General features: G+C 50.9%; 2 protein-coding genes across 3 annotated transcripts in view, besides 2 other annotated features; one reads left to right on the top strand and one right to left on the bottom strand.

Annotated features, from left to right (window-relative positions):
* The window catches only part of ALDH1A3 (aldehyde dehydrogenase 1 family member A3), a 36,796-nt gene extending 24,866 nt beyond the window's left edge, over window positions 1-11,930 (bottom strand). For both annotated transcript variants that reach the window (NM_000693.4, NM_001293815.2), the window contains exons 1-3: window positions 11,755-11,930; window positions 6,390-6,494; window positions 4,049-4,189 (exon numbers count right to left, since the gene is read on the bottom strand). In NM_000693.4, coding sequence (NP_000684.2) covers window positions 4,049-4,189; window positions 6,390-6,494; window positions 11,755-11,853 — 345 coding nt within the window. In that variant the 5' untranslated portion in view covers window positions 11,854-11,930. The remainder of the gene's footprint in view (window positions 1-4,048; window positions 4,190-6,389; window positions 6,495-11,754) is intronic.
* Window positions 10,884-11,398: an enhancer, noted in NCBI's record as "H3K4me1 hESC enhancer chr15:101420568-101421082 (GRCh37/hg19 assembly coordinates)". NCBI's record gives its function as "activates a minimal SCP1, AML or CMV promoter by ChIP-STARR-seq in naive H9 embryonic stem cells {active_cell/tissue: H9 hESC(naive)}" and the evidence as "EXISTENCE:reporter gene assay evidence [ECO:0000049][PMID:30033119]".
* Window positions 11,890-12,009: a silencer, noted in NCBI's record as "silent region_6879". NCBI's record gives its function as "represses an Ori minimal core promoter by ATAC-STARR-seq in GM12878 lymphoblastoid cells {active_cell/tissue: GM12878}" and the evidence as "EXISTENCE:reporter gene assay evidence [ECO:0000049][PMID:35858748]".
* Window positions 11,958-12,815, top strand: LOC124903575 (collagen alpha-1(I) chain-like). The gene has a single exon (XM_047433433.1). The coding sequence runs from the start codon at window positions 11,958-11,960 to the stop codon at window positions 12,738-12,740; it is 783 nt and encodes a 260-aa protein (XP_047289389.1). The 3' UTR covers window positions 12,741-12,815.

Genomic DNA, 14,455 nt, shown 5'->3' with positions numbered 1-14,455 from the left:
CCAGCGCTGAAACCGCCAGTCATCCGCCTCTGCAGGAAGTGGCCGCCCTGACACATAGCCCAGGGCTGGATTCTTGTGGAAGAGTCAGTGGAGTGAGATGGTGATTGAAAAAGGAAGAAGGCCCCTCCTCAGATCCAGGGCTTTAACCCCAGCGCACTCCCCGATGTCTCACCCTTTGAGCTCCATGACTGCATTCCCACTTCAAGGTGCAGGCACGGACGCTAACGGCCCAGTGACTTGGCCAAGGCCACCCAGTAATGCAGCAGCTGAATTGGGGGCATCTACTTCTGGCCAGCACAGCGACTGGCCTTTACAGGCTGCTCCTGGACAGGTGTGTCTGGAAAGACTGCAGGGCAGCCACTCCGGATGCTCGGGCTACCCCAGCTCCCCTTTGCTTCAGGAATGAGCCAAGCCCCCTTTAAATAGGAGGCAACTACATCTGCTGAACCCTAGTTAAGTAAGTGGGCCTTGGGTAAGTCCCTGAATCACTCCTTGCCTCAGTTTCCTCATCTGTAAAATAAGAATAATAACGGTTCCTACCTCACAGGGCCAGCGTTAGAGTGAAAGGAGTCAGTGTCCACAGAGCAGCAACCACAGTGCCCGCCCATGGTGAGTGCTGGATTGGTGTTCACATGAGAACACTGATGATTACACTGACTATCATCAACTTCCCTTTAGGCACCAGAGAAGGGCTTGGCGATCCTCACCTGGGGACCCAGACAGCGCACTGGGTTGCTAAAGACCACAGGACTGGTCTAGCTTGGGGTGTGTGTTCTGCCCCCAGCAGCTGCCACTCAGGGACTGAGTCAGGCCAGTGTGACATCAAGTATACTCTAGTGTTGGTTCCTATAGATTTTCACTCAAGCGTGAACTTTCATTTTTCCAGGGGAAGCCTAGCAATTGCAAATAGTGCAAAAAGGCCTCTAAGACTGACCTATTCCAGACAGTATCTGCATATCTGTCAGTGGAATTGCAAGTTTATTCTTTGCTCTTTTCTGGGATGGAACAAGAGAGAGGACTTCAACATCCAGCACTGAGGGTAAGCGCGAGACATGGAGCCAAGATTCTGCCTCCAGTCCTGGATTACCACCTCTGGCTGGGTGACCTAGGACAGGTTACTTAACCTCTCTGGGCCTCAGTTTCTCATCTCTGAAATGAGATAATAAATCCTACAGGTCAACAAGCCAGGTACATGGCGAACATTCAGCCAGCATTGCTATTTGTTTTTATTGTCAACTTCAGCAAGTTTGCTTACTGGAGTGACAACATGAATTTACCAGGTTAGTTTTATGGAATTTCTCTGAGCAAAACCCAGGTCATGATAGGTTTAGACGGGAAATTATTAAAAAAAATTATGCAGGTGAGTGAGTCCAAGTGCTCGCTACAGATTGAAACAGTCATCCTTTAAACAACTTGTTACTGTGGCTCAATCATGAGTAAACCATAGCCACTCCTAAGTTTATTTCCTTTAACATTTTAAGAGGAAAATGTGCCTCCTGAGAAATTAACACATCAGAACCCTCAGATACTAAAGAATGACGGGAAGTGCCAGGAAAACAGCACGGCAGGGCTTACAACGAGAGGACCCAGAAATGGCACTTGGGGTGAAAAGGAGAGTGGATAGGGAGGGCTTCCGTTTGGGAGCTCCCAAAATGAGCGCCCAAAGAGCAGAGTTGGGGCCTGGGTGCCCCAGCAAAGGAAAGCCATCCAGGGGCCGCTGGATCCCCCACATCTGTTTCCAGACACTGAGCACAGAAATAAACACCCAGCTCTGTCAAACCACTGAGCCGGCAAGAGAACACGCTCCATGAACATGCACGGAAACCATATCGAGGTGGAGAGCAAGGGGCGCTCTCCTGTGATGTGGTTGGAGTTTTAAAAACCGTGTTTGCCAGTAATTCTCTTGTCCCTTTCATGTTGTGGCAAAGAGCTGGATCTTATTTCTCGTGGGCTGCGAGGTGCCAGTGGCAGAAGTGATTTGCTGGGTTTGCATTCTGAGATCCTCCAAAGCTGTCTGCTATCAAAACACAGTCGTGCCAGGACAATGGGGCAGCCTGAAGATGAAGGTGGCTTTGTAGCCTCTGCTCCTAAGATGATACTGACACTTAAGGACAGGGTTCAGGGCGGGGGGTGCCCAGGGCACATCCTCTCTAGCCTGCTATTAGTCCACACGGACATTGCCGACCGATGAGCTCATGCCGGGTGAAAACAGAAATGTTTTTGAAAAAGCCAGTTTGGCAGCTTGAGGGTTGACGCTGGCTTACGTTGCAGGAAGAAACCAGAGGCTCCTCAGAGAGAAGCGCTTACCCTGGGAGGGAGCTACTCTCACCCGGGGAACATGTGGACTGGCCGGGCTGACTGGGAAGGAAGGAAGGGGAGCTCGAGTTTCTGTGTGGATGCACCCTTAGGGAAATGCACCCAAGAGTACGGCCTGAGAGTTCCTCCACCCTGAGAAACACATTCAGGGGCAACAGCAATTTCCGTGTCCTGGCTGACACCCTCCTTTAAACAGTGGCTACCCTACTGCTTGTTCCCGACATCAGAAAAACCATTTTTCCAAATCAAAGGCCAGAAAGGAGATCTCCTCCCCTACAACCGGGCCTCAAGGTTTGGAACAACTTTTAAAAACAAGAGGCTGAGATGGGCAAGGACAGGATGCAAAGGACCTCATGGCCCAACGTGGCCCTGAGATGTCCTCTGATCACTCCCTCATGACCAGAGGAGGGTCTGAGGATCCTGCTAAAAAATGGACTTACAACTGATGAATGCCTTGGCAGCTCAGCCTCATGGGGTATGCTCCATCAATATCCCCACCTAGGGTATCTAGAAATTACTGGCCAGCAGTGCATGTAGGTGAGGTTAGAAAATGGGTCTTCACATGACCTCATTATGATAACTGCTATTATTAATGATAGCTGTCATCTATTTAGTGCTTACTGCCTGCCAGGGACTCTGCCTAGAATCTTAAATAGATCATTCTTACACCACTGAGTTATCATTATCGGTGACATTTTACATGAAGAAATAAATCTCAGAGAGGTTTCACAACTTGTCCAAAGTCACACAGCTAGTAAGTGGCAGAGTGGGGATTTGAACCCAGGTCTTTCCTATTCTGAGGTTTCCTATAACCAGGCTATCCTGCCCTCACCACCGCTCCACATATGCTCGCTACTAGCCAGTTCAGGGGTGACTGAGGAATGATTTTAGGTCACATGGGAACAATTTTTTCTATGTTAAGTGGTGGCATTTATTTTGGTAAGTATTAGAAAAATAAAATTAGCACATCAAACCTGTGATTTCATGAATATTGTTTCTTAGGATGAGATTAAACTTAAGTTTAAAAGGGAGTTAAGGCTGGGTGCAGTGGCTCACATCTGTAATCCCAGCACTTTGGGAGGCCAAGGCCGGTAGATCACCTGAGGCCAGGAGTTCGAGACCAGGAGTTCAAGACCTGGCCAACATGATGAAACCCTGTCTCTGTTACAAATATAAAAATTAGCCGGGCATGGTGGCAGGCACCTGTAGTCCCAGCTACTCAGGAGGCTGAGGCAAGAGAATCATTTTAACCTGGGAGGCAGAGGCTGCAGTGAGCCGAGATCGCGCCACTGCACTCCAGCCTGGGTGACAGAGGGAGACTCTGTCTCAAAAAAATAAATAAAATAAAATAAATAAAAGGAAGTTTATACAAAAAAGAAAAAAGTTAAGTACATAAACACACAGGTGGTACCAGGATATGGCCCAGCTCATGGTCACCAATCTGTGAGTGCCCCAAGTCTGAGACCACTGATGTAGCTCAACTGCCTATAGACAACAACTTGGTCAAGAAGCTGAGCTGCAGAGGACAAAAGTCTGACTTCAAAATGAAAGGGATTCAGTCTAGAGGCATTAACACCTGCAAGTATTGCCAGAGAGCCGTGTCTCAGAGGATGGAACAGACCCACGACCACACAAAACCAGGACCGTGATCTTTTTTCCCATACCCCATGGTGGACAGGACCCTCAGTGAGGCTGGCTCATCCCCCACCGGCCCCCAAGTGCATGTACTCACGGCCAAGGTGGCGCGGTCCCTCTCCACCAGGTCAGCCAGCTGGTGCAGCAGCCGCCCACGACTCAGGGCATCCAGCCGGCGCCATGGCGAGCCCCTCTGGAAGGCAACCTGTGCAGCCTCCACAGCCTTGTCCACGTCGGGCTGAGCGACCAGAACAACAGAGAGAGACTGTCATCTTTTGACGTGACTGCAGTTTGGGTGTCATCTTTTGACGTGACTGAAGTTTGGGTGTCATCTTTTGAGGTGACTGCAGTTTGGGTGTCATCTTTTGACGTGACTGCAGTTTGGGTGTCATCTTTTGAAGTGACTGCAGTTTCGGTGTCATCTTTTGAGGTGACTGCAGTTTGGGTGTCATCTTTTGAGGTGACTGCAGTTTGGGTGTCATCTTTTGACGTGACTGCAGTTTGGGTGTCATCTTTTGAGGTGACTGCAGTTTGGGTGTCATCTTTTGACGTGACTGCAGTTTGGGACCACGGCCATCAGTTATAGAGAACAGCAGATTGTCCCGCTGGCAGACAGGCTGCAAGCAGCAGCATGTTTTTCAATCACTTGAATGGCTGGGAGCGTTCAAGTGATTTTTTTTCTTCTTTACATCTTAATATTTCTACAGTGGCCAAATACCAATGTTTGTTTCTGATTATAAAAAGCATTTAAAAATATTTCCTAAAGAGTATTTTTCTCAGGGACCCAAGTACGGAAGGACTTTCCACTGGCTGCCTCAGTGTGAACGCACACGAGCCTGCTGTTCACAGATCAGGTGGGAAGTGTCTGCCTGGCATTTGATCCCAGCTGGGAACTTGTGGTCCAAGAGTGAGAATGGGGAAATTCCTTCCTTTCTGGATTGCAGAACTGACCATCGTGGAACAGTTCGCAGACAGGGAGGAGCATGAAGGCCGTTTTTCTCCCTTCAGCCTCACCCACCCCATGGGAGCAGAACTGGATCTTTTGTGCACTGATAGAATAATCACAACGGAACCTTCTTTCTAAAAGGAAAGAAGTGAGGGCCATTTAGAGTAGTGTCACTGTCTCTTTTTCTCAGGAAAATGGGCCACATTCATCTCGAAGGCCCCTCCATGCCTCTCTCTTTCTAGGAAGGTACAGCAGGGAGTGGATGTGGGACACCAGTCAGGAGTGACTCTACCGAGTCTCTGTGTGTCCAGAGCTGGCTTGGGGGTGAGCAGAAGCTTGGCAGGGGAGATGTGGGACACTGAATTTCTTCTCCCAGGCTCTGGGGTGGAGGCCAGGACCTTTCCAGCTGCAGAGGGTGTGGTGGCCTCTGGCTCAGAACAGTCACTCAGACCAAGGGAGAAATCAAGGCCCAGGGCAAGGGTCTCGTTCTCCTCCTAGCACCTGTACGGGGCACTTGGGAGTCTCCTAGTGGAAACCCCATTCCATGTCATGGCTTCCCCCCAATGCCCTCACATTTTTCTATGAGCTCCTCTGTGCCACTTTCTTTGTTAGCAGAGCCTAACTGTCATGAGGTGCCACACAGAGGGGGGTCTGTATAGGTGGGGCCAGTGTGCATTTGCACGTCTGTCACAAAAACTCATGGGCAAGATAAAATCCAAGCCTACTCTGCACACGCCCTTCACTGCATCCACTTCCAACGTCATCAGTTTGCTGACCAAGAACATCAGTCCAGCACTCCAGCAGCTAAGGAAACATTTACATCTCCCTGCCCTCAGTGGAAGGGCTTTACCTCTGCACTGACATTCAGAATAGATTTGATGGCCTTGCAATGTATAAAGGACACATTCGGAAGTCCCTTAGCTTCTGTATTACTATATAGACCTTGCACTTGCAAATAGAGTGATAAAGGTTACCGCTTTCCATGCTCATGTAAATTTCTAGGAGAAAAGAAATCTGGTGGTTACATTGTTAACTATCCCCGCATCACCCGGGTAGCAACTATTTTTTTTCCTTCAAAGTGTCTATTTTTTTCTAAAGTGTCTTCTGCCAGAAAGCTTCATTTCGTGAAACACACCAGCGGGAAATGCTTTCTGGAAAGATTCTTTAATGCCTCCAGGTCCAAATAATTGATAAAAAAAAAAAAAAAAGAAAAAAGAAAACCTTTCCTTTAGCCATATGATGAGGATAGCTGAGGTCATCCTCATAGTAGGAGAAACATCTATCAAGGGAGAATGATTCTCTGCAGAGGATCATCGGTAATTGATGCCATTCTGTGCCACACGTCTGAGAACCACATGCCAATTCACGCAGCTAGCCCAGGCCCTGCCCCCAGGATAGGCCAGTTCTGTCTTATAGCTAAGCCGAACCGTTTCCTTATCCTTTGGTCATCCATAATTGAATTACTTAGAGCAAATTTATTTTAAGTATTTACCTTATCTCCTTCTTCCACTTCACATATTTGCTCCCGAGTTGAAGGGTTACATGTAGCAAACTTTTTCCCACTCTTGGATTCGTGCCATTCATTGTTGATAAATATCTAACCAGGAAAGGAAGTGTAACCAATTAGGTTTAGATCAAAATCATATAATTTCAACATGCTAAGGACCTTAGGTGACGTCTTATCCATCTTGTCCACCTTCCTCTCTGCTGCTTCCCTCTCCCCTTCGACATCTTATAGATGAGACCCGGAGGGGAACAGAGTCCCAGGACTGCATGACCAACAGATCAACTAGGACAGACTCGAAATTCAAGTTTTGGTCAAATAAAACTATAGTCACTTAGAGATTTTTTTCTAAATTATTATTATTATCTTCAGCAATAACATGGATTCACAGAGGAATGGCTAAGTTAAATGGTTAAATAGAGGCTGTGAATGGAATCTCATACCCCAATAGACTTTGGGGGAAGAGTCAATAGGTTTATATACATAAAAGTCCCAAGCAGTCCGCCTGCCCCTGAAGGGTAAGGACGCACCGAGCACTCCCTTTCTCCTTTCAGTGGCAACACTCAGCAAGATTGATTGCCAAGGAGCTCACTTTGAGGAGGATCTCACCATCGCCCTTCAGTTTTCACCAATGCACATCAGCATGTCCCTCCCCAGCACATTCCCCTTAAAATGTGTATTTTCATAGCAAACCACCATGGCGCATGTTTACCTATGTCACAGACCTGCACATCCTGCACATGTACCCTAGAACTTAAAATAAAAGTTGATAAAATGTCAAAAAAAAAAAAAAACCCAGAAAAACCTCCGAAGCTTGATAATAAACCAGCGTTGAAGTACAAAGTTAAATGTCTGGGTTAGAAACTTTCCAGGTTACATTAAGAGATGTCGCAAATAACTGTTTATATAACCCGCAGAAATCACTTTTCTGGGAACCTCAATGATCCAGAATGCAGATGAGAATGAAAGTTTTTTTGACAAAAGACATCATGAGCAGACTAAGAAGAACATACGAAGTCCATGCACTGAAACATATGTACTATTTACTGTTAGTTTACACTAAGTTCTAATTGTCTTATTAATGTCATATTAAAAGAGAGGGCTTTTGGAAAAAACTAGGAAGAGACATGACAGACAATATACAAAACACATTCCGACAGCACGGAGGTCCCCGGCTGCCCAGCCAGAAGACACACAAACTCCTGCTACACCAACTTGGAATGGCTTCCTCATCACAGCCTATCACAGCATCAGAAGAACCCCCGTGGCAGAAATGGCTGACACGCATGTCTCTCAAGTAAAATGCCGTCAGTAATTTCTGAGTACAGAATTAGTTCATCAGGTTCCGTTTTTACATCTATCTGCATGTGGTATACATAGCTTTACTTTGCTTCTTTTTGAATTGTTTAAAGGAAGAATTGCGTCCCTCAAGGGCTAATTTCAATTATTGTGAAATTGATTCATTTGAAACATTTGACTCCCCAGTGATGACAGATGAGAGAGGGCAGCCATCTCCTAAGCATGAGTCTTGGTTACATTCTCTGTATTGGGCTTCCTGTATAAACTCCACAGCTCCGGCTTAATACCTGGGTGATGGGTTGATCCATGCAGCAAACCACCATGGCACATGTTTACCTATGTAACAAACCTGCACATCCTGCACATGTACCCCAGAACTTAAAAGTTGATAGAATGTTAAAAAAAAAAAAAACCCACAAAAACCTCTGAAGCTCATAGTGAGGAAGCCTGGTCTGAGTCGGTTGGGGACCAAGCACAGGAGGCAGACTCTGGCTGGGCAGGTGAGCAGAGACCAGCTGCCCCCCAGTTTGGAATCCAGAACTGAGAGCATCGGTCACCATTGGGATTTGCCTGTCTGGCTTCTGGAAGCTTAGCGTCTCCAATGTGAGGCCAGGCCCCCAGGGAAGCGCACCAGGAAAAGGCCAGGCTACAATTACAGGTTTATTCTTCCAGCTGAAACTAAATCCAAGAGTTCACTTTTGCCATCCAGCAAGTCATCACTTGGTAACAGCGAGAAATTAATAACTGAGGAAGAAGAGTTAAGTTAGTGCGGGGAGGAAAGTGCAGCCAGGAAGAGGGGCCCATTTGTAGAAAGATGAAATTTCGTGGGTTAGATAATAGAGACTGTCAGTGAAAATTGCTGATTCTAGGTCCTTCCTGGTATCAACTCCAAGGGGGAGGGAAAATGAGAAGGTGGCAGAAGAGAATATAAATAAGGGGGCTGAAAACAGATTACAATGATCGGATGTCTGCTATACTGCTATACTTCATCTCCAAGCATGCTCCTCCAAAAAAAATTACTGTTTGTTCATGACATTGATCTGTAACCAGCAACCTTAAAAAAAAATCAGACTGTTTGACTCTAACCATATTTTCCCATCACTATGTTTTTAATTTTGTAAAATCTTTTACTTTATACCACACTACAGTAGTAAGTAATCTTGTAAGTGGTTTCTACTGTTGATTTTTCTCTCCATTAAAACAAAACAAAAGCACAAATATAAGGAAAGGGTATATAAATATGGTCTACTGATTATGCTGGCTGTATTGTTTTGAACTCCAAATCAGGGTAAAGGGTCTAGAAGGAATTGTTGTCTTTGATTTGTGGATTAGCATACAACAAACCTTATAGAGGTATAGCATTAAGCTACATTGAGCTGTAGACCTGGTTCACATTTTACAAAAGGAACAGAATGACATGGAAGCAGGACGGAGCTGTAAGGTGTCTCAGGCAGAGGTGAAGATGACAGTCATACAAGTGAATCCTATTGATGCCGATTTCCCGTAACTTCCATCTGACAACAGGCCACTCAGCTAAACTCAAAAAGAATATGTTTTCAGAAAAGGAGATTTGGGGGAATTTTATTTTTCATAAGAGAGATAATAAAAACCGGTGTTTTAAAAATCAGAAAACTTTGAAGAGAATCCCTGCTACTGGAAGAAATTTTATAAGGAAAGAAAGAGGCCCTCTAAATTAGAAGGGACTTCTATCCTCTGAGATCTGTGTGGGGACCCTGGAGGGGCTCTCAGCTCTCCAGAATCACACAGCATGACCCTAGAGAATGAAATGTTAACATGTGAGGACAAATGAAGGGGCTTTGACAAAGTCATCCTGAAAGTTGGACCACCCTGGGAAATGGCACTGCCGGGGCTAGGGCTCAGATGGACCAACTCTGGTGTGTGCCCCATTATCGAGAAGCACCATGAGTCAATTTTGGAAAATAGCAGACCACTGCTGGCTCCCATGCTCCACCGTCTGCTCTCCTGCCAGGCCACCCACCTGCCGGGCCACTCGCCCACTCTGGGCCTCAGTCCTGCACTTCAGTTTATCCCGCTCCTTCCCTCGGCAGGCACTCTTGGTGGCCTCACTCTCGGCCGCCTCTCCAGTCCAGTCTCCCTGAGGACTGTGCCAGGGCACTGGTTGGCCACCCTCAGCCACACAAGCTGCCTGGGTCCACAACTGCTATGGGGAGGTCTCTGCAGAGATGGGCCAGGAGCCAGGACAGAGCAGGCAGCAGCACAGTCCCCCAACGGGTGAGGAGCCAGCAGCCGGTGTCAGGCAGTTGGGGCCTTTATCGCCTGGGAGACCACTCAAGATCCCAGCACTCCAGGCCGATCCACCAGCTTCCCTCAGCCTCATTCCTGCACTGGTTCCCTTTAACTGGCAAAGGTTGCGCACCCACCAAGACAACAGGCAACCATTGCTCTGTGAATTGTCTAAGGTCTCCATAAGGGCTACATCTACACTTTAAAAGTGTCCTAAAAATCATAGAGAAAGAGGTAAACTTTTTGTATGTGGTCAGATTGCTGATAGGACTCAAAAACATAAAAAGTAAAAGGACCATAATACATTTACTGTCTGGTTTCTATATACAGTATTTTGAAATCCTGTACAACCAAAAGAAAACAAACAACCTCCCCACTTAACCATCAGTAGCAGCAGCCAAGCACCTGGGGTTAGGGTCTTACAAAATTCGGGTACCATTTTCACTCTTCCCAGAATTCGTGTTGGAATTTTCACTCTGAAGCTGATATTACAAATAAAACTACATTAAGAATAATTTCCAGCGTTTAGTTTACAGCGACGTGTCTTTGTTGATTACAGAGCCTTCTGAAAACAGTTAATTTAAATGTCTTGTGATCAGAGGCTCAGCCGACATTGGGAATTAAGTGCCAAGAGACCCAAATCTGAAGGCCACACATAGTGCCCTGCAACTTTCTCCGCTTGATTAAAATTCTTTGAGAAAGATAATTGCTACTTCTTAAAGTAAAACGGATGAGGAAATTCTCTAAGTGCGGTGTCAGCTGGAGTTGGGGGCTATGGGTAAAAGCAAAAATCAAGAGAAGCCAAAGGTGGGGAAAGTTAAGGCAATGGCTCTCGGCCTGGCCTGTGCCTCTAAAGTGCCCCAGCACCGGCCCACGACAGACGCGCACGCCAGACAGCCTGGGGGTGTCCTCCATCGGGTCGCGCTCCCGGACCCGGGTCTCTCGGCCCTCCTCAGCCCCAGCTCAGAGGCCTCGGAGGCCTCACCATCTTCTTTTATTCCTTTCTGCCCCGGGCAGGTAATCTCGCCGTTCTGCCAACGCTGTAGCCTCCCAGCCCACAGAGCGAGGAGGCAGAGAACCGTGCGCTTCTGCGGCCTCGCGACCCACCGCTTCCCAAAGGCCCAGGTCTGCGACCTTCCGGAGCGCGCGCCTTGTGTGTAAACACCGGGACCTCTGGGCTCCGGGGAGGTTTCGTCAGTAAGCGAGCACCTTCCTACTCCTCCTCGTTCTGCTGCTGAGCCGGGTATAAACTAAGCACGGAAGGCGCCCGCTGCGCTTTGCTCGGAGGACCCGCTTCCCCAGTCTTCCAACTGCAGCTCCGCCATCTGCCTCCCGGACTCTCTCTTGGCGCTCTCGGACCCTCCGACCCTCTCAAAGCCAGACTCGTCCACCCTGGAAATCATCGCAGGGGTTTTTGGGGAGGGAGCTCCCCAAAACCAGCGCGCTCCGAGTCAACGCGGCGCGCACCTCCACTCGCGATCAAAGCGGGCAGCGCAGGGACACGTCGGGGCCTCGCAGGGATGCGGGCGGCCCGGCCCCGCGCGGGCGCTGGACGGCCTCGGTTTCCCGGCTTCGAGGCTCACAGCGCCGAGCCCCGCCGCCTGCGATCCCGCCCGAGACGTCCCGCGAAAGGTGCGGTTTCTGGAGAGCCGCGCCCGGGCAGGGAGGCTCGGGTCTCGGCGGCGCCCGGCGGACCCCCGGCCCGCTGCTCCCTCGCCCCCGCCGCCCCGAGTCTGGCTGCCCAGCGCAGGGGCCCGCGGCCGTCGGGTGGGAGGGGCGCCCGCCTCACCTTGGTGAACTTGACCTCCAGGTTGCGGATGGGGCGCGGCAGGGCCGGCGGCTTCCTGTCCGGCTGCCCGTTTTCCACGGCCCCGTTAGCGGTGGCCATGGCTCCTCCGCGCTCCCTGGCCCGAGGCGCCCTAGTCTGCGGCGCACCGGCTCGGCCCGGACACTGCGCAGCCCGCTCCCGGGGTGGCAGCTCCCCGCCGCTTTATGCAGCGCCCCACGCCTCCCGCCCGAGGGGGCCGCCTAATTGGCTGCGGGACCGGAGGAAGGGAGGGCGGGCTGCGGGAGGGAGGAGAGGGGAGGGCGGCCGGCCCGCCTCACCCCGCCCCGCCCGCCGCCCCTGCGGGAGCCCGAGCGCCGGCGGCTCCACCCGCGTGCCGCGGACCGTCCCGGCGCCCGCGCCGCGCGCTCTCTCGCCCCGGAGGCTGCCTGTGGACGAGCTCCCCGAGGAGCCGCCGGGCCCCGGAAGTCGCAGGGCTGGGACACCCGACCCGGCAGGGAGCTGAGCCGCGGGGCCACGGCGCCCCGCTGCCTCCCCGAAGTCGGGCGGGCTCCCCGCGCGGCACATGCAGCCCACTCCCAGCCGCCGCACGGCGCGCTCGCCCGACTTCGGCCGGCTCGCGGCGCTCGGGAATGCGCGCTCTCCGCCGGGCCCTGCGCCGCGCCCGGGTCGGGGCTCCTGGCGGGGCCGCCCCGCGTCGCTGCGCACGTGCCCTGCTCTTGGGTCCAGCCGCCCGATCCCCGCTAGCAGGACAGACGCCCGCTGCGCCCCACCCTGCCCGAGCGCGGACAGCCGGCGGGCGCACCCCGGCCCAGCCGGCCTGGAGTCTCCCCGGGGCCCTGGGGCTTCGCCCGCGGTGGGGCAGAAGGCGAAAGCAAAGCGCCGGACCCGGGCGGCTCTCCGCCGAGGAGCCCTGGCGCCGCTGGGCCTCTGACCTTCGCAGGCGCACACCGCCTTCCATCCCAGAGCCCGGGGGGCAATTGATCTGATTTTTTAAATGCATAAATTATACCTCGATTAAAAAATGATAATTAAAAAAAAGCACATGAGACCTTTGCTGCTAATCGTTTTAAGAGTTTAAATTCTTGTCGCGCATTACTTCCCAGGAGGGGGAGGTAAGTCTAGCTCCTCTCCTTTTGCGATTTGGGAAACGCTCCATCAACTCCCAGGACTTGACCCAGGCCCCATCTGAGACACGGAAGCGGCTTCTGATGCATGCCATTCCTCAGGTCGCTGGAACAAAGACCGGAGGCACGGACTCCTGACAAAAGCTGTGCTTTAATCCTCAGATAGGCTCAGCCCCTTCAGTTCATCTCTTTCTGTAGGTAACCCCAAGTAATCAACAATGGGGAGGGGTCTCCTTATTTTCCTGTTTTGAGGCCTCCGTGTCCATCTCTCTGTCCCCTGGTGTCCTTCTGGATAGAGCTGGATAGAGGGGTAAGTTTTGAAGCTTTTGGAAACCCCACATCTGACCCTTACCCTGGGGTTGTGGAAAGGTCTTGTGCTGTTATGGCCTGGAGTGCACAGCTGAGGCCGGGGAAAGGGGATAATGGACCCTCGAGCGGGGCAGCCTTGACCGATATCGGCTGGCTAACACTGGCGAGTCTGAGCAATGCCAGCTCTTTCCTCAGCTGCTTCTGCAAATCCGGGGCTCCCTGCCCTCTTGGCTGGCCCCATGGCTCCCACTCAGATCTCCTGAAAACATCTGGGCAGATGTGCTATGCCACGGCCCCCGGCTGGGTGCTGAGCCCTAGCGTTTGGGTGCCTGAGCCCAAGAGGACCGTCAGGGAGTAGTGACAAACCCCTCCTGCATGGATGGAGGCCAGGGGCCCAAGGCCAGTGTGTGCAGCAGGCCCCAGGAAGCTGCAACTAGAGATGCTTTACAAACTGAACTCCCATCCTGAGACTTTATCGGGGGTCCTTGATGGTTGAAATTATGTCACTGCCAGGATTTTAAAAAAAAATCTGAAATAAAATTTATAGAGGAAACTGTGTTAATTAAATAATTGCTGGATTGATGGGGGAGGCAAATGGGGTTGAGCTTAGAACTCTGCTCCTTTAGGGAAGATAGTCGAGCCTGTTTGGTCAAAGATAGACAGTCACCACTTTGTTGGCTATGAAGTCAGGAATGAAAGCCACCTCACCTCACACTCAGACATCCTTGTGACCCGAGGCGTCTGGTCTCAGGAGCCAGTTGCAAAGATGCCGACTGGCTCACCTGCAGCTCCTCCGTTTGATACCCACGTGATCCTGGGAGCCTGAGATCAGACTGGAGCACTCAGCCATAGACTTTGTCACAGTAGGTGGCTCCCAGAGAGCAGGTCAGGAGGATGGGCCTAGCTCTGGGCTTGTCCAGACAAGCAGGCTCTACCTCTGCTCCCATCGGCAGGAGGGGTGGAGGCAAATGCGCTTCTCCCCATTTTACGGGTGAGTAAACAGAGGCGTGCAGACACTTGCCCCAGACATCACCATCGGTCGAGAAACTAAGGCCAGACTGTGTGAGAGTGGGTGGTGCAGTGCAGGGAGGAGGGGCTTCTCTGACATTCCTCTGACCTATTCTTTCAAGCAGGTGAGCACCTATGACCCAGGGTGGTCCCATGTCACTGGGGCTGCATAGGGCATAGTGAAGACACGAAGGGCTTTGAAGGTCAAAAATGGCGGGAGTATCCCTTTTCGTTGTGCCTTTCCTAGGAACCATATCTCC

The sequence above is a fragment of the Homo sapiens genome, chromosome 15 (assembly GCF_000001405.40).
Source record: "Homo sapiens chromosome 15, GRCh38.p14 Primary Assembly".
NCBI lineage: Eukaryota > Metazoa > Chordata > Mammalia > Primates > Hominidae > Homo > Homo sapiens.
This window is presented reverse-complemented; position numbering and strand designations above follow the sequence as displayed.

Coding starts and splice junctions, on each gene's coding strand:
- LOC124903575 (XM_047433433.1), top strand. CDS start 11,958: ATGCAGCGCCCCACGCCTCCCGCCCGAGGGGGCCGCCTAATTGGCTGC.